This window comes from Homo sapiens, chromosome 19 (assembly GCF_000001405.40).
Source record: "Homo sapiens chromosome 19, GRCh38.p14 Primary Assembly".
Taxonomy (NCBI): Eukaryota; Metazoa; Chordata; class Mammalia; order Primates; family Hominidae; genus Homo; species Homo sapiens.
In genome coordinates this window covers 14,613,142-14,630,531 of record NC_000019.10, presented here as the reverse complement: position 1 = coordinate 14,630,531, position 17,390 = coordinate 14,613,142, and the positions used below count along the sequence as shown (strand labels likewise).

The window sequence follows — 17,390 nt, the reverse complement described above, 5'->3', positions numbered from 1 at the left end:
GAGGCTGAGGCAGGAGAATCACTTGAACCCTGGAGGTGGAGGTTGCAGTGAGTCGAGATCATGTCATTGTGCTCCAGCCTGGGCAACAGAGCAAGACTCCATCTCAAAAATAAAATAAAATAAAATAAAATAAAATAAGATGAGGGAGCTGAGTTGCAAGAAGGTAAAGCAGCTTTCACAAGATCACACAGGTAGCCAGTGCTGGCTTCCATTTAAACTCAGGTAGTCTAGCTCCAGAGTTCTTACTATTAACAGCTAACTAGAGGGGTGTTCATGCTCATTATTAGTTTTTTGACATCCTAATCTCTGACTTCCTCCTCCCAGGATGCTGGCTTTCAAAGCAACAGCTCAGCTCTTCATCCTGGGCTGCACATGGTGTCTGGGCTTGCTACAGGTGGGTCCAGCTGCCCAGGTCATGGCCTACCTCTTCACCATCATCAACAGCCTCCAAGGCTTCTTCATCTTCTTGGTCTACTGCCTCCTCAGCCAGCAGGTAAACACTGACCCCTTTCTTTGTTATTTAAACTTAAGAAAATTTTGGAAATGGAGTTCAATGGGGATTTAAGTTGACATTCTCTAAATGTTCCACATGAGATTATAATCCACCTGTAAACACTCTCTCTATTTTCTCTACTTTAAAAATGCTACTAGTTGTTAAGATACATCATTTATTAACACATTTCAGAATATAAATAATTGCTATGTCAAAAAAAAATCATGCCTTTTTCTCAGTTTTCCCACTCGTAATAGTCAGCTAATGCTGTGTAACAAACAACCTCAAAAAATCTCATTGGTTTAAACACAAATATTTGCTTTTCTTATTCTGGGGTCTACAGGTCTATTGGGGTTCACCTGATCTTAGCTGAGCTCAGCTTGCCTTTGCTCCAGGATGCAGATCAGATTTAGGCCTGCTCCTTGTGACTCATCCTGAGGCTTAAGCAGAAGGGGGAGCAACTCCCCAGCAAATATTCTTCTCCTAACAATGCTGAAATCACAAAGAGGCAGACCCTACTGGGCAAGGTCACTCAAGCCTGTGATTCTTCCTCTACTAATATCCCATTAGCCAAAGAAAGTCACACACCCAAGCCCAAAGTCAATGAGAAAAGAACACTCAACCCACCAAGAGACTAAGACAGAGTGTAATACAACTACAAAGGAGTGAATCGTGGAGATCAACAATGCAGCTAACACACCACTTCACATGAATTATTTTTTTTCCAACTACTATTTTATTTACATTACTACCTTAAGTTACATGGAAAAAAACACCCAAGCAGTTCTGCCCTATTTCAGAAAAAGTTTCCAATCGGCAGGGTGCAGTGGCTCACGCCTGTAATCCCAGCACTTTGGGAGGCCAGCACAGGGGGATCACTTGTGCTCAGGAGTTTGAGACCAGCCTGACGAACATGGCGAAACCCCATCTCTACTAAAAACTACAAAACAATTACCCGGGTATGATGGAGGCGCCTGTAATCCCAGCTGCTCGGGAGGCTAGGCAGGATAATCACTTGAACCCAGGAGGCAGAGGCTGCAGTGAGCCGAGATCGCACCACTGCACTCCAGCCTGGGCAACAGAGCAAGACTCCGTCTCAAAAAAAAAAGAGAAAAAGAAGAAGCTTCCAGTCAATACCAATTATATAGTGCCGGGATTACAGGTGTAAGCCACCATGCTGGACTGATTTATCTCTTTTTCTTCAAGACATATCAGATGATATCTGCCCCTTAAAGCTGTCACTGTCCCAAACTAGGTCACATTCCAGGATCACACAGCCTTCCTTGTAACACTGGCTGTCTGCAGGGGCAAACTCATAGATCCATCCCAGTCTGCTATTGCAGTTTTTGCAACTCACATCTCAAACCATGGAACAGCAGTGGGCATGATGAGGTCTTGAACTTCACTGTACTGCAGGTTAACTGCCTCGTTAAAGAGAAACTGGGGCCAGGCACAGTGACTCATGCCCATAATTCCAGTACTTCAGGAGGCTGAGGCAGGAGGCAGAACTCATCTCCACTTGGTTCACAGGCACCACTAGCAGAGTGTGTGTTTCATCGTCATCATCATCATTATTTATTTATTTATTTATTTATTTTTTGAGACAGATTCTTGCTCTGTCACCCAGGCTGGAGTACAGTAGCTCAATCTCGGCTCACTGCAACTGCCTCCCAGGTTCAAGCGATTCTTCGGCCTCCACCTCCCGAGTACCTGGGACTACAGGCGCATGCCACCATGCCTGGCTAATTTTTTTTTTTTTTTGTATTTTTAGTAGAGATGGGGTTTCACATGAGCATACGCAAAACACTTATATGTACTCTTCCCTTAGTTTATCTCAGTTTGTGAGGCATATCATAGCATCCAGTTTTTGTTATTCGTTTTTTTGTTGTTTTGTTTTTTGTTTTTTGTTTGAGACAGAGTTTGGCTCTTGTTGCCCAGGCTGGAGTGCAATGGCACGACCTCAGCCCACCACGACATCTGCCTCCCGGGTTCAAGTGATTATCCTGCCTCAGCCTCCTGAGTAGCTGGGATTACAGGTGCACACCTCCACACCCAGCTAATTTTGTGTTTTTAATAGAGACAGGGTTTCTCCATGTTGGTCAGGCTGGTCTCGAACTCCCGACCTCAGGTGATCTGCCTGCCTCAGCCTCCCAAAGTGCTGGGATTACAGGCGTGAGCCATCGTGCCTGGCCTAGCATCCAGTTTTTAAAGATATATATAGTTTTATTTCATATGGCTACTAAATTCAAAACACTTTATTTGTCTGCAACTGAACAGTAGTCTGTGTCCTCCAAGAAGATCCCTTACTAAGGGGTGCTCAGGGATAATCTGGACTGCACGCTGTCTCCACAATGGAACCCAGCCAAGCGTGGTGGCTCGTGCCTGTAATCCCAGCACTTTGGGAGGCCGAGGCAGGCAGATCATCTGAGGTCAGGAGTTCAAGACCAGCCTGGCCAACATGGTGAAAGCCCGTCTCTACTAAACAATACAAACATTAGCCGAGAGTGGTGGCACCTGCCTGTAATCCCAGCTACTAGGGAGGCTGAGGCTAGAGAATCACTTTAACCTGGCAGGCAGAGGTTGCAGTGAGCTGAGATCACACCATTGCATTCCAGCCTGAGCAACAGAGCGAGACTCCGTCTCAAAAAAAAACAAAAGAAACTACCCCAGAGGGTTTCATTTTGTTTATATAACGAGTATAAGCACTCATTGTTTGTGTTATTGTTATGTATTTATTTATATGTAGGTATGGGTGTTTATGGCATATCAGAATGGTTCTTACCAGGAGCAATTGTGTTCCCACCACGGGACAGTTAGCAATGTCTGGGGAAATGCTTGTCATTACTGGGGTGGGGGTTTCTACTGGCATCTAGTTGGTGGAGGTCAGGGATACCGCTAAATATCCTAAACAATGCACACAGGACAGCCCTCTCCAGCAAAACATGATCCAACCCAAGATGTCAACAGTGCCAAGGTTAGGATATCACGGTGTGGCAGATGCTGTCCACGGCCCTCTCATATCCCTTTGGCTTCTGTCTCTACATGCCTGGAGTTGCTTGTTGCAAACACCCATGACTGTGCCTGAAGGCTTCGTACTGCCCACAGGACACGCCTGGCCCATGCATAGGGCAAACTGGTGATGCCAAAGAGTAATGGCCCTTGAGACCGGCCATCAACCCATGACTGATGGGAGCTGGTGGATAAATACCCCAGCTCCCTCCTCCTTCAGGCAAGTTGACTCTAAGGTAGTTCCATGCTCTACCCCAGAGCTCCTGAATGGGGCTGAGCCCCAGATTCCCACAGTGGAAATAACCTTAATTATGCATTCTTTACCAGCTGCCTTCTCTTCCCTGTCCTGCTTCCTCATTGCCCTACTGGTGCTTCTTGGGATCACCCCTCAAATAAACTCCTTACACTTCCACCCTTGTTGCAGGGTCTGCTTCTGAGGTGCCCAAAACCAAGACACATTGAAGGGTACTACCAAAATATTATTGGTGATTTTCACTAGATTGAGGAATTATATGCAACTTCTATTTTCTTCCTTTTGCATATGCATATCTTATACATTTTCTATTTTTTCTTTTCTTTTCTTTTGTTTTTTTGAGATGAAGTGTTGCTCTGTCTCCCAGGCTGGAGTGCAGTGCCGTGATCTCAGCTCACTGCAACCTCTGCCTCCCAGGTTCAAGCAATTCTCCTACCTCAGCCTCTGGAGTAGCTGGGATTACAGTCATGAGCCACCACTCCCATCTAATTATTTTGTATTTTTAGTAGAGACAGGGTTTCACCGTGTTAGCCAGAATGGTCTCAATCTCCTGACCTCGTGATCCACCCGCCTCGGCCTCTCAAAGTGGTGGGATTACAGGTGTGAGCCACCACACCTGGCCATAAATTTTCTACAACAATTATATACCCTGTAATGAAAATGTTTACTGTGGTAAAACATATATAATATAAAATTTACCTTTTTAACCATTTTTAAGTGTACCATTAGTAGCATCACATTCGCAATGTGGTGCAACCATCACCAACATCCATCTCCGGAACTTTATTCATCTTCCCAAACTGAAACTCCATCCACATTAAACACTACCTCGCCACTCTCCTTCCCCCCAGGCCCTGGAAACCGCTCTTCTACTTTAGGTCTATATGGATTTGACTACTTTAGGTACCTCATATAAGTAGAATCATACAGTATGTGCCTTTTCATGACCAGCTTATTTCGCTTAGCCTGATGTCCTCAAGGTTCATCCGTGTGGTAGCATATGTGTCAGAATCTCCTTCCTTTATAAGACTGAGTAATATTCCATTGTACGAATAGACCATGTTTTGTGAAAATAAATAAATAATAATACATCTCTATCCTCTTCCTGACTCACCGACCTTTCTGCTGTTCACCAATGTTAGCAAAACCCATCCAGGTATTTCCTTTGATGTTCCAGGTCCAGAAACAATATCAAAAGTGGTTTAGAGAGATCGTAAAATCAAAATCTGAGTCTGAGACATACACACTTTCCAGCAAGATGGGTCCTGACTCAAAACCCAGTGAGGTAAGTGAAACATCTGAATTGTTCTAATGTTTTACATACTCCTCTCTTGACACTGCAAACTTCCTCTAGTTTGGGATTTTTTTGTTTGTTTGTTTTTGTTTTTGTTTTTTAAGTTCTGAGGTTACATGTGCAGGTTTGTTACATAGGTAAACGTGTGCCATGGTGGTTTGCTGCACCTATCAACCCATTACCTAGGTATTAAGCCCAGCATTAGCTGGGCATGGTGGCTCATGCCTGTAATCCCAGCATTTTGGGAGGCCAAGGTGGGTGCATCACCTGAGGTCAGGAGTTCAAGACCAGCCTGACCAACATGGTGAAACCCCATCTCTACTAAAAATACAAAAATTAGCCGGGTGTGGTGGTATGCACCTGTAGTCCCAGCTACTGGGGAGGCTGAGACAGGAAAATCACTTGAACCTGAGAGGCGGAGGTTGCAGTGAGCCAAGATCGCACCATTGCACTCCAGCCTGGGTGACAGAGCGAGACTCTGTCTAAAAAACAAACAAACAAACAAACAAAAACAGCACACATCGGCTCTTTTCCCTAATGCTCTCCCCCCTCCAACGTCCCCTAACAGGCCCCAGTGAGTGTTGTTCCCCTCCCTGTGTCCATGAGCTCTCATTGTTCAGCTCCCACTTACAAGTGAGAACATGCGGTGTTTGGTGTTCTGCTCCTGAGTTCGTTTGCTGAGCTTCCTCTAGTTTTTAATTTATATTTTCCTTTTTTTTTTTTTTTAAGAGACAGGGTCTTGCTCTGTCACCCAGGCTGGAGTGCAGTGGCGTGATCATAGCTTACTGCGGTTTCGACCTCCTGGGCTCAAGCAATCCTCCCATCTCAGCTTCCTGAGTAGCTGAGACCACAAGTGTGCACCACCATGCCCTACTAATTTTTTTTATAGAGAGAGAGATGGAGTCTCCCTATGTTGCCCAGGCTGGTCTTGATCTCCCAGCTCGAGCAGTCCTACCACCTCAGCCTCCCAAAGTGCTGAAATTACAGGTATGAGCCACCACACCCGGCCTATATTTTCCTTTTTCAAAGATATGCTCATGTTATTCAATTTCCACAATGTAAAATAATAATAATAAAAAGGAAGCCACAGGCCTGGCACAGTGGCTCACGCCTATAATCCCAACACTTTGGGAGGCCGAGGTGGGCAGATCACCTGAGGTTGGGAGTTCGAGACCAGCCTGACCAACATGGAGAAACCCCATCTCTACTAAAAATACAAAATTAGCTGGGCATGGTGGCACATGCCTGTAATCCCAGCTACTCGGGAGGCTGAAGCAGAAGAATCGCTTGAATCCGGGCAGCAGAGGTTGCAGTGAGCCGAGCTCGTGCCATTGCACTCCAGCCTGGGCAACAAGAGCGAAACCCTGTCTCAAAAAAAAAAAAAAAGGAAGCCAGGTGTGGTGGCGTTGTAGTCCTAGCTACTCGGGAGGCTAAGATGGGAGGATCGCTTGAGCCCAGGAGTTTGACACCAGCCTGGGAAACGTAGGGTAGCTTTGAGGAGCTAGTCTTAGTACAAACTTGCTTTCCTGGAGGGTATGAGGAAGAGTCCTTTTCCCGATAACCTGGTTTGAGTTCCTCATTCTTGTTATATTGTTCCTCAGTGACTCCTCTCTGCTCACTAACAGCACTTAAGCTGGTTTTCATATGTATTCTTGCTGTGTGAAGATGTATGGGTGAAACATATCATCAGAACCAATGCAATCTAACACAGACTCTCACTGGGGGAAATTTACAAGTGTAGGCATAGCAGAGTGATCATCTTCCCCCAAATGCCCACTGTCCATAAAGATGTGGATGTGGGCCCACAGAGTGACGGTACGCCATGGAACAGGCTCCAGGGGAGGGATTCTGCCCCAGCTGCTCTGCATAATTGCAGAGGATGGGTGCAGGGAATCATGGGACCTTTCTGGGGGAGGACATAGCCCTGTTAGAAAGATGATACTTCTGGAATCTGGTTGCTGGTATTCTGTTCTTCCATTGCACTAACTCAGGCTCAGTGCAACACAGAATGAGCTTTCTGCACTATGTGACATTTCGTTCCATATTTGGCTTTTTGAATAAATGACAGAATAGACATCTAAAAAGAGGCTGGGCATGGTGGCTCACACCTGTAATCCCAACACTTTGGGAGGCCAAGGTGGAAGGATCACTTAAGTCCAGGAGTTTTATTTTTTTTTTTTTTTATTTTTTTTTTTTTAAGTATTTTAGGCATATTTAATAAATAACTTCAGTAAATAGCACTGTAAAAAGTGAACTGTTAAAACTAAAGGCACTTAAAACAAGAATGTGACTAGTGTGAAACAAGATGGGCAACTCAAATGGTGAGAAGTAAACATACAGTGGTCTGTTATGGCACTAACTCAAAGTAAGACTCGCGTAGGTGAGAGCTGTTGCATAGCCACAGTATAACTTCACATGTTCATTAAAAAGGCAAATTGACCGCTAAAACTTCAAAGAAAAAGTACTCATAAAAAAAGTCTTACCCCAAAATTGCAAACAAATACATTAAAAGATTAGAAGAGGTGACAGAAAGCACCAGACATTAAACAAAATAAAAATAATAAAATAAATTCAACTCAAAAGGTCCCCATTCAGCAAATACTTTGTAAAGTATGGCCTGTATGTAAATAGTGCTAAATCAAGGACTTTTTAGCAAAAAATTGCTCGGTTCTTTTATCTAAGGCTTGAATTTGTAAAGTGAAGGCATAAAAGTTACCAAACATTAAGTAACTCTTAAAATGGCACACAGGTTTTAAAGCTATTGGTTTTTCCTTCCTAACTCTCTGAATTTTTCCCATGGCCTTTGTAGATCAACTATTTCAAACGTATTTTACACCAGCAACTCTCAACATACTTGTCTTTCAGATATGTCATCAGTCATGTCTAACAGGCAAATAGCAAAATAACAGATTTAAAACAATCCTTAACTAGCTAGCAGGACATTTACTTTGGATTCTGCATAACTGCAAACTGACATATTTGTAAAGCTAAAAATCAGTTTTAATACATGATTAACAGAAACTCTCATCATGCTCATTACTTTAACTATTGCCCTTTCAATCGCTATAGAAATATCACTTAATCCAATAAGCTTGATTTCAATAGTCCAGGAAGAAAAGGTCAAAAAGGCACAATGTGACCTTAGCTGACAAGAATAACCATCCTGTCTCAAGTCTTTTGTCAGTCCCTGGCATGAATTACAACATTATTTTCAAAATAATAAAACATTTTAAAAATTATACTAGTACTTGTGAAGCCAGCAACGGACAGATCTGCAATGGCCGGGGCATCTGCGAGTGTGGTGTCTGTAAGTGTACAGATCCGAAGTTTCAAGGGCAAACGTGTGAGATGTGTCAGACCTGCCTTGGTGTCTGTGCTGAGCATAAAGAATGTGTTCAGTGCAGAGCCTTCAATAAAGGAGAAAAGAAAGACACATGCACACAGGAATGTTCCTATTTTAACATTACCAAGGTAGAAAGTCGGGACAAATTACCCCAGCCGGTCCAACCTGATCCTGTGTCCCATTGTAAGGAGAAGGATGTTGACGACTGTTGGTTCTATTTTACGTATTCAGTGAATGGGAACAACGAGGTCATGGTTCATGTTGTGGAGAATCCAGAGTGTCCCACTGGTCCAGACATCATTCCAATTGTAGCTGGTGTGGTTGCTGGAATTGTTCTTATTGGCCTTGCATTACTGCTGATATGGAAGCTTTTAATGATAATTCATGACAGAAGGGAGTTTGCTAAATTTGAAAAGGAGAAAATGAATGCCAAATGGGACACGGGTGAAAATCCTATTTATAAGAGTGCCGTAACAACTGTGGTCAATCCGAAGTATGAGGGAAAATGAGTACTGCCCGTGCAAATCCCACAACACTGAATGCAAAGTAGCAATTTCCATAGTCACAGTTAGGTAGCTTTAGGGCAATATTGCCATGGTTTTACTCAAGTCCAGGAGTTTTAGACCAGCCTGGGCAACATAGTGAGAACCTGTCTCTTCTTTTCTTTTCACTTTTTTTTTTTTCTGAGACAGAGTCTCACTCTATCACCCAGGCTAGAATACAGTGGTGCAATCTCGGCTCACTGCAACCTCTGCCTCCTGGGTTCAAGCGATTCTCCTGCCTCAGCCTCCCCAGTAGCTGGGATTACATGCGCCCGCCACCACACCCGGCTAATTTTTTTGTATTTTTAGTAGAGATGGTGTTTCACCATGTTGGCCAGGCTGGTCTCGAACTCCTGATCTCAAGTGATCCGCCCGCCTCAGCTTCTCAAAGTGCTGAGATTACAGGTGTGAGCCACTGGGCATGGTGGCAGGTGCCTGTAATCCCAGCTACTCAGGAGACTGAGGCAAGAGAATCGCTTGAACCTGGGAGGCAAAGATTACGGTGAGCCGAGATCATGCCATTGCACTCCAGCCTGGGCGACAAGAATGAAACTCTGTCTCAAAAAAAAAATTTGATTAATATTAGGCTTAATTATTCTCAACAAGAGTAAAAGTGCCAACTGTTGACTGTGACCTATGAAAGGTTTCCCAGATAATCCAAAATAATTCCCAAAGCTGCCAGCATTCCAGTTATTGGTTCTCCACAATGAAATAAGGAAAATCGTTTAACATTGTGGAAATTGAATAATATGAGTGTATCTTTGGAAGGGGAAAATATCAAATATAACCTGGGCAGTATAGTGAGACCCTGTCTCTGCAGAAACATCAAAGAATTAACCAGGTGTAGTGGTGCATGCCTGTAGCCTGTAGTTTCAGCTATTTGGGAGGCTGAGGCAGGAGCATTGCTTAAGCCCGGGAGGCAGAGGTTGCAATGAGCCAAGATCAAGCCAAGATCAGGCCACTGCACTCCAGCCTGGGTGACAGAGCAAAACCCTGTCTCAAAAAAAAAAAAAAAAAAAAAAAAAAAAATATATATATATATATATATAATATATATATAAAATATATATATTCATATATAGTCATAATATATTCATATATTCATATATATTCATATGTACTCATAATATATTCATATATTCATATATACATGAATATACATATATATTCATATATACATGAATATACATATATATTCATATATACATGTATATATGAATCTCTCTTTAAGAAATACATTAGCTTTGGCCGGGCATGGTGGCTCATGCCAGTAATCCCAGCACTTTGGGAGAACAAGGTAGGAGGATCGCTTGAGGTCAGGAGTTTGAGACCTGCCTGGGCAACAAAATAAGACCCCATCTCTACAGAAAAATCTCCATGCTTTTATTTTTTAGGCACAGAGTTTGAGTAAAAAGCTAATGAAACTCTTTCTCTATGGACAAGTTTGACCTTGGGTTAACTTTCTAACTCTGTTCCCAAGAAACGTGATAAAGTTGGAAGATCAGATAGGTCGCCAGGCAATGTTGCCTATGGAAAAAGTCAAGCTTGACTTGTAAATTGCATCTAGATGGGAAATTCTATGAATGAACCATAAATACCAGGAAGGAAGATGTAACTTTGAACTTCTTGCCCACAACTCTTATAACTAGGCTAGGAAGCACTAACCTCATAGGCTTCTTCAGGAGATGTTGGTTCCTCTGTGGAGCTTGGGGCTGCTAAACCAAGCTGTAAGTTGTGGGGTGCAAAGAGAACATTTGTTGAGTACTACAGTGTGTCAGGCACTATGTTAGATAACAGGCATTCAAAGAGAAACAAAGCCAACAAGACTCTAACCTTTCTTCATAGACAAAAAAACATCCAGGGGGCTGAAATTCCAGAGTGTAATATGTCTGAAAATTTATCAAAAAGAAGAATTCTTCCTGCTGAATTTTTGATAAGTCTTCCCACTCTAAGCCAAAGAAGACCACATCTGCCCTAGGATTTTTAAATGCTAGGAGATCATGCCATCCTTGCCTGCTGGTTCAAACTGGGTTTAAATCACTCCTGCTGTTTTTCCATGTTGTTGATTTTGTCTGTTTACTTTATTTTACCCTTACATCCACCTTTAATCTAAACCTCTTTTATAGGGGGATGTTTTTCCAGGACAAGTGAAGAGAAAATATTAAAACTAGAATATTCAACTCCATATGGAAAATCATATCCATGGATCTCTTTGGCATTATGAAGAATGAAGCTAAGGAAAAGGGAATTCATTAAACATATCATCCTTGGAGAGGAAGTAATCAACCTTTACTTCCCAAGCTGTTTGTTCTCCACAATAGGCTCTCAACAAATGTGTGGTAAATTGCATTTCTCTTCACTATGGTGTATTCAGTCAATGCTTGTCCCTGGAAACCCAAAGCATGACCACTGCAAATATTTCCTTGACTTTTTGTAAATGAAGAGGTCCTTTTCCTCAAGTTCTTAGTCCCACTCATCCTAAACTTGCTCTTTTTTTAAGACAGAGTTTCACTCTGTCACCCAGGCTGGAGTGTAGTGGCATGATCGTAGCTCACTGCAGCCTCAAACTCCAGAGCTCAACTGGTTCTCCAGCCTCAGCTTCCCAAAGTGCTGGGATTACAGGCATGAGCCACTGCACCTGGCCATAAACTTGCTCTTTAAACTCACTCATTCCCTCAAACCATCAGCTTCCTACTGGCTTTACTTCCTTGCTAGATACAGGCTAATTTTTTTTTTTTTTTTTTTTTTTTTGAGATGGAGTTTCGCTCTTGTTGCCCAGGCTGGAGTGCAACGGCGTGAGTGCAACCTCTGCCTCCCGGGTTCAAGCGATTCTTCTGCCTCAGCCTCCCAAGTAGCTGGCGTTACAGGTATGGACCACCATGTCCGGCTAATTTTGTATTTTTAGTAGAGACAGGGTTTCTCCATGTTGGTCAGGCTGGTCTCGAACTCCCAGCCTCAGGTGATCCACCTGACTTGGCCTCCCAGAGTGCTGGGATTACAGGCATGAGCCACCGTGCCCGGCCCAGGCTAACTTATTTTCTTCTGAGACTGAGTCTCACTCTGTCACCCAGGCTGGAGTGCAGTGGTGAGATCTAGGCTCACTGCAACCTCTACCTCCTGGGTTCAAGCAATTCTCCTGCCTTAGCCTCCCGATAGCTGGGACTACAAGCACATGCCACCATGCCCAGCTAATTTTGTATTTTTAGTGGAGACAAGGTTTCACCATGTTGGCCAGGCTGATCTCAAACTCCTGACCTCAAGCAGCGATCCACCTGCCGGGGCCTCCCAAAGTGCTGGGATTACAGACACAAGCCATCGCGCCTGATGAGAGATTTTAAGTGTTCTCACCACAAAAAAAAGAAAAAAAAGTTATATGAGGTAATCGTATATTAATTAGCTTGACTTAGTCATTCCACGATGTAGATATATTTCAAAACATCCTGTTGTACATGATAAATATATATATTTTTGTCTATATAAAACAAATAAATAAATAAATGTTTAAAGTGTAAAAGAGCCTGGACTCTAAATTATGCTGTCCCTCCAAATAAAAGTTTATTTTGCAAAAAATAAAAAAATTAAAGAATGTAAGAAGATTCAAGTGCATGCCCAAAAGTTCTAGTTCTATGGAACTTAATAAAAAAGGAATACATTTAAGAAGATATTTTACTGGATGATTTTTATTTTTCTTTAGCACCTGTCTGCTATTGATGCTGGGTGATTTTTTTTTTAAGTCATCACTCTCAAAAGCCAAATTTGAGGCTTAGAAGACCACACAGGAGAAATAGCTCAAAGCACTGAGGAAAAAAGGCCAAAAGATTAAAATCTTGGAAGAATAAAAGGAAGACTGGGGTGTTTAATATGAGAATAATAGGAATTTTGGAAGAAAAGAGAGGACATGGCCGGGTGCAGTGGCTCACGCCTGTAATCCTAGCATTTTGGGAGGCCGAGGCAGGTGGATCACCTGAGGTCAGGAGTTCGAGACCAGCCTATCCAATGTGGTGAAACCCCATCTCTACTAAAAATGCAAATATTAGCCAGGCGTGGTGGCAGGGGCCTGTAATCCCAGCTACTTGGGAGGCTGAGGCAGGAGAATCACTTGAACCCAGGAGGCAGAGGTTGCAGTGAGTCAATATCATGCCATTGCACTCTAGTTTGGGTGACAGAGTAAGACTCCATCAAGAAAGAGAGAAAGAAAAGAAAGAAAGAAAGAAAGAAAGGAAGAAAGAAAGAAAGAAAGAAAGAAAGAAAGAAAGGGAGGGAGGGAGGGAGGGAAGCAAGGGGAAGAGAGAGAGGAAGAGAGAGAGAAAGAGAAAGAACGAAAAAGAAAGGAAGGAAGGAAGAAAGAAAAAAGAAAAGAAAAGAGAAAAGAAAAGAAGGAAGGAAAAGAGAGGACACATGTTCAGGCCCCTTCTATCCAAAAAGTCTCCCCTTAATCTGCTTTCCCTCTGCAATAGCCACTCTATCTCTCCTCCTCTTCACAGCCAAAATTCTAGAAAAAAAGGTGGGGTGTGGTGGCTCACACCTATAATCCCAGCACTTTGGGAGGCCAAGGCGGGTGGTTCACCTGAGGTCAGGAGTTCGAGACCAGCCTGACCAACATGGAGAAACACCCTCTCTACTAAAAATACGAAATTAGCCAGGCGTGGTGGCGCATGTCTGTAATCCCCAGCTACTCAGGAGGCTGAGGCAGGAGAATCACTTGAACCCGGGAGATGGAGGTTGCGGTGAGCCGAGATTGCGCCACTGCACTCCAGACTGGGCAACAAGAGCGAAATTCCATCTCAAAAAAAAAAAAAAAAAAATTCTAGAAAAAAGCTTGTTTCCACTGTGTTGTCTTCACTTGCTCCAACCTCCTCACTGTTCAACCACTGCAATCTAACTTCTGCTTGCAACACACCAAAGGATGAACCAATGTCCCAAATGCTTCCTCGGTGCAAAGTCCACTGGTTGTTTCTCAGTCTTACCAAACTTGACCGCTGGGTCAACATTTGACTCTGTTGATCATTTTTTTTCTTCTTGAAGCATTCTCTTCTCTTGGCTTCCCTGATGCCACACTATCCTCCTATAAGGATAGTCAATTCATTCTGGTTTACCCGGGACTTTCCCAGGTTTAGTACCAAAAGTCCCACAATCCAGGAGTCCCTCAGTCCCAGGCAAACCAGAACCATTTCACAAACTCATCTTTGATGATGACACTCATCCCATAGCATCATCATTTGAGTTCTCCCAAAAGCAAACTCTGAGATAAGGAGTTTAATGCATGCAGGTAGATTATTTTGGAGATGATCCCAGGAAACACCAACGGGGTGTGAAGAAATGAGGCAGGGCTGGGCACGGTGGCTCACACCTGTAATCCTAGCACTTTGGAAGGCCGAGATGGGCAGATCACGAGGAGTTCACGTGGAGATCACGAGGAGATCACAAGGGCAGAGGTCAGGAGTTCAAGACCAGCCTGGCCAATATGGTGACACCCCGTCTCTACTAAAAATACAAAAATTAGCCGGGTGTGGTGGCATAGGCCTGTAGTCCCAGCTACTCGGGAGGCTGAGGCAGAAGAATCACTTGAACCTGGGAGGCGGAGGTTACAGTGGGCGACAGAGCAAGACTCTGTTAAAAAAAAAAAAAAAAGTAAGGCAGAGAAAGAACAAGATGTGTTAAAAGATGTGTTATTGCTGGGAGCAGTGGCACACACCTGTAGTCTCAGATACTCTGGAGGCGAAGGCGGGAGGATTGCTTGAACCCAGGAGTTCAATGTTGCAGTGAGCTATGATTGCACCACTGCACTCTAGGTTGGGCAACACAGCGAGAACCTGTCTCTCTAATTTTTTTTTTTTTTTAGCAGAGTCTCTCTGTTGCCCAGGCTGGAGTGCAGTGGCATAATCTCAGCTCACTGTAACTTTCGCCTCCCGGGTTCAAGCAAATCTCCTGCCTCAGCCTCCTGAGTAGCTGGGATTACAGGCACGCACCACCACGCCCGGCTAATTTTTGTATTTTTTAGTAGAGATGGGGTTTCAACATGTTGCCCAGGCTGGTCTCGAACTCATGGCCTCAAGCGATCCACCTGCCTCGGCCTCCCAAAGTGCTGGGATTACAGGCGTGAGCCACCACACCTGGCCAGAGATGCTGTCTCTCTAAAAAAAATTTTTTTTAATTTTAAAAATTAACCAAAAATGTGTTAGTTGAGCAGGCTATCTCTCTAGGCAGGTGGAGCTTTACCCTAGTGGGGACTTTCAGGAGATAATGTGGAACATGCATCTCAGAGTCACCTCTCCCGAGGAACGAGGGAGCTGGGGTGGGAGATGGAAGTTGCAGTGAGCCAAGATCACACCACTGCACTCCAGCCTGGGCAACAGAGTGAGACTCCATCTCAAAAAAAAAAAAAAAAAAAAAAAGAAGGCAGCTGTAGAAAGAGATCAACAAACAGTGGGAGGCACAGATGGAATCTGAATCCCAGTTCTGCCATTTACCCACTAAATGACAATGGACAAGCCGTGAGACCCCACCTCTGGGCCTCAGTTTGCCCAGGTATAAAATGGGGTTGGTTAGCCAGGTGTAGTGGCACACACCTATAGCCACAGCTACTTGGGAGGCTGAGGTGGGAGGATCACTTGAGCCCAGGAGGTTGAGGCCACAATGAGCTGTGATTGCACCACTGCACTTCAGCCTGGGTGACAGAGTGAGACCCTGTCTTTAAAAAAAAAAAAAAATGGGGGCCGGGCACAGTGGCTCACACCTATAATCCCAGCACGCAGCACGTTGGGAGGCTAAGGCAGGCAGATCACTTGAAGCCAGGGGTTTGAGACCAGCCTGGCCAACATGGCAAAACCCCATCTCTAGTAAAAATACGAAAAAATTCACTGGGCATTACGGTGTACCTGTAATCCCAACTACTTGGGAGGCAGAGGCAGAAGAATGGCTTGAACCCAGGAGGCAAAGGTTGCAGTGAGCCGAGATCACACCACTGCACTCCAGCCTGGGAGACAGAGTGAGACTCTGCCCAAAAAAAAAAAAAGATTGGCGGGCGTTGGTAAATATTCCAACCTCACAAAGTCATGGTGAAGATTCAATGAGAGCCACTGCATTTATTTACCACACAATATATGTTTGATAAACCATGGTTATTATTTTTATCCAACTGTTGCTCCCCTGGACCTAAAGTGGTAAAAAGTGACCTCTTTCATATTTACCTCTCTGCAATTAGATAATCATGAGAGATGTGGAAGGGAGATAGGTTGGGACCAGTTCCACCAGGGGCCTCCTAGAGACGTGACCACAGACCCCTGCTTCCCCATTTCTCAATACGCATATCAGAAAACAACTTCCCTCTTCTGAAATGTGGGAACTTCCCCTGACCCCAGATAAAGTTGCTTGACATAACAGTCCCCTGGGTGGAGGGTTTACAACACGACACCCACCCACTCAGCAGGCTGCGGACAGTACAGGAGCTGGCTTTGGTAGTGATGCATCAGGGCAGCTGCAGAGGTGGGCAGAGGTGAGAAGAGAGGACAGACAGAACCAAAACTCAGTAGTGGGGTCGTGCCTGTGAAATGCCACTGCACTCCAGCCTGGGCCACGTCCTGAGAACCCATCTCTTAAAAATAAATAACGAGGCTGGGTGCAGTGGCTCACACCTGTAATCCCAGCACTTTGAGAGGCCAAGGCGGGTGGATCACTTGAGGTCAGGAGTTCGAGACCAGCCTGGCCAAAGTGGCGAAATGCCGTCTCTACTAATAATACAAAAATTAGCCGGATGTGGTGGCGCACACCTGTAATCCCAGCTACTCAGGAGGCTGAGGCACAAGAATCGCTTGTACCCAGGAGGAGGAGGTTGCAGTGAGCCGAGATCATGCCACTGTACTCCAGCCTGGGTGACAGAGTGACACTCCATCTCAAAAAAAATTTTTTTAATAACGAAATAAAAGAACAAGTAGATTTAAAACAAATCAAAGAAACAGGAAGTGAAATCAGCTCCGACCTCTCCCACCACCTGCTCTCCTCACAGTCTCCTTGCTATAAGCACCTGTTCTCAGACAAAACAGGAAAGATTCTGCTATTGATTAAGGGAGCTTATTGATCAATAAATTGATCGCAATCCTTGTATTTTAGGAGGCTGAAGCAGGAGGATTGTTTGAGACCAGGAGTTTAAGCCCAGTCTGGGCAACAAAGCAAGACCCCTGTCTATACAAAAAAAAAAAAAAATTAAAATTAGCTGGGTGTGGTGGGGGCACACCTGTAGTTCTAGTTATACAGGAGTCTGAGGACGGAGGATTTCTTGAGCTCAGGTGTTTGAGGCTTCAGTGAGCTATGATTACAACACTGCACTCCAGCCTGGGCGACAGAGTGAGACCTTGTCTCAAAAAATAAAATAAGGCCAGGCATGGTGGCTCACGCCTGTAATCTTAGCACTTTAGGGGGCTGAGGTGGGCGGATCACTTGAGGTCAGGAGTTCGAGA

At 44.2% G+C, this 17,390-nt stretch overlaps 1 protein-coding gene, 1 non-coding gene and 2 pseudogenes across 7 annotated transcripts in view, besides 1 other annotated feature; 2 read left to right on the top strand and 2 right to left on the bottom strand.

Annotated features, from left to right (window-relative positions):
• The window catches only part of ADGRE3 (adhesion G protein-coupled receptor E3), a 74,728-nt gene that overhangs the window by 44,313 nt on the left and 13,025 nt on the right, over positions 1-17,390 (top strand). For 5 of the 6 annotated variants that reach the window (XM_011528374.3, NM_001289159.2, NM_001289158.2 and 2 more), the window contains 3 exons: positions 325-493; positions 4,933-5,040; positions 11,061-11,415. In XM_011528374.3, coding sequence (XP_011526676.1) covers positions 325-493; positions 4,933-5,040; positions 11,061-11,099 — 316 coding nt within the window. In that variant the 3' untranslated portion in view covers positions 11,100-11,415. Of the gene's footprint in view, positions 1-324; positions 494-4,932; positions 5,041-11,060; positions 11,416-17,390 lie in introns of those variants that run through there. The other variant, XR_001753772.2, reaches the window with a different exon arrangement.
• YPEL5P4 (YPEL5 pseudogene 4) lies at positions 1,731-1,933 on the bottom strand (annotated as a pseudogene).
• ITGB1P1 (integrin subunit beta 1 pseudogene 1) lies at positions 7,244-8,311 on the top strand (annotated as a pseudogene).
• Positions 8,181-8,319, bottom strand: SNORA104 (small nucleolar RNA, H/ACA box 104). The gene has a single exon (NR_132784.1). It is a non-coding gene; the product is annotated as a small nucleolar RNA, H/ACA box 104 (small nucleolar RNA).
• Positions 16,257-16,306: a silencer, noted in NCBI's record as "silent region_10261". NCBI's record gives its function as "represses an Ori minimal core promoter by ATAC-STARR-seq in GM12878 lymphoblastoid cells {active_cell/tissue: GM12878}" and the evidence as "EXISTENCE:reporter gene assay evidence [ECO:0000049][PMID:35858748]".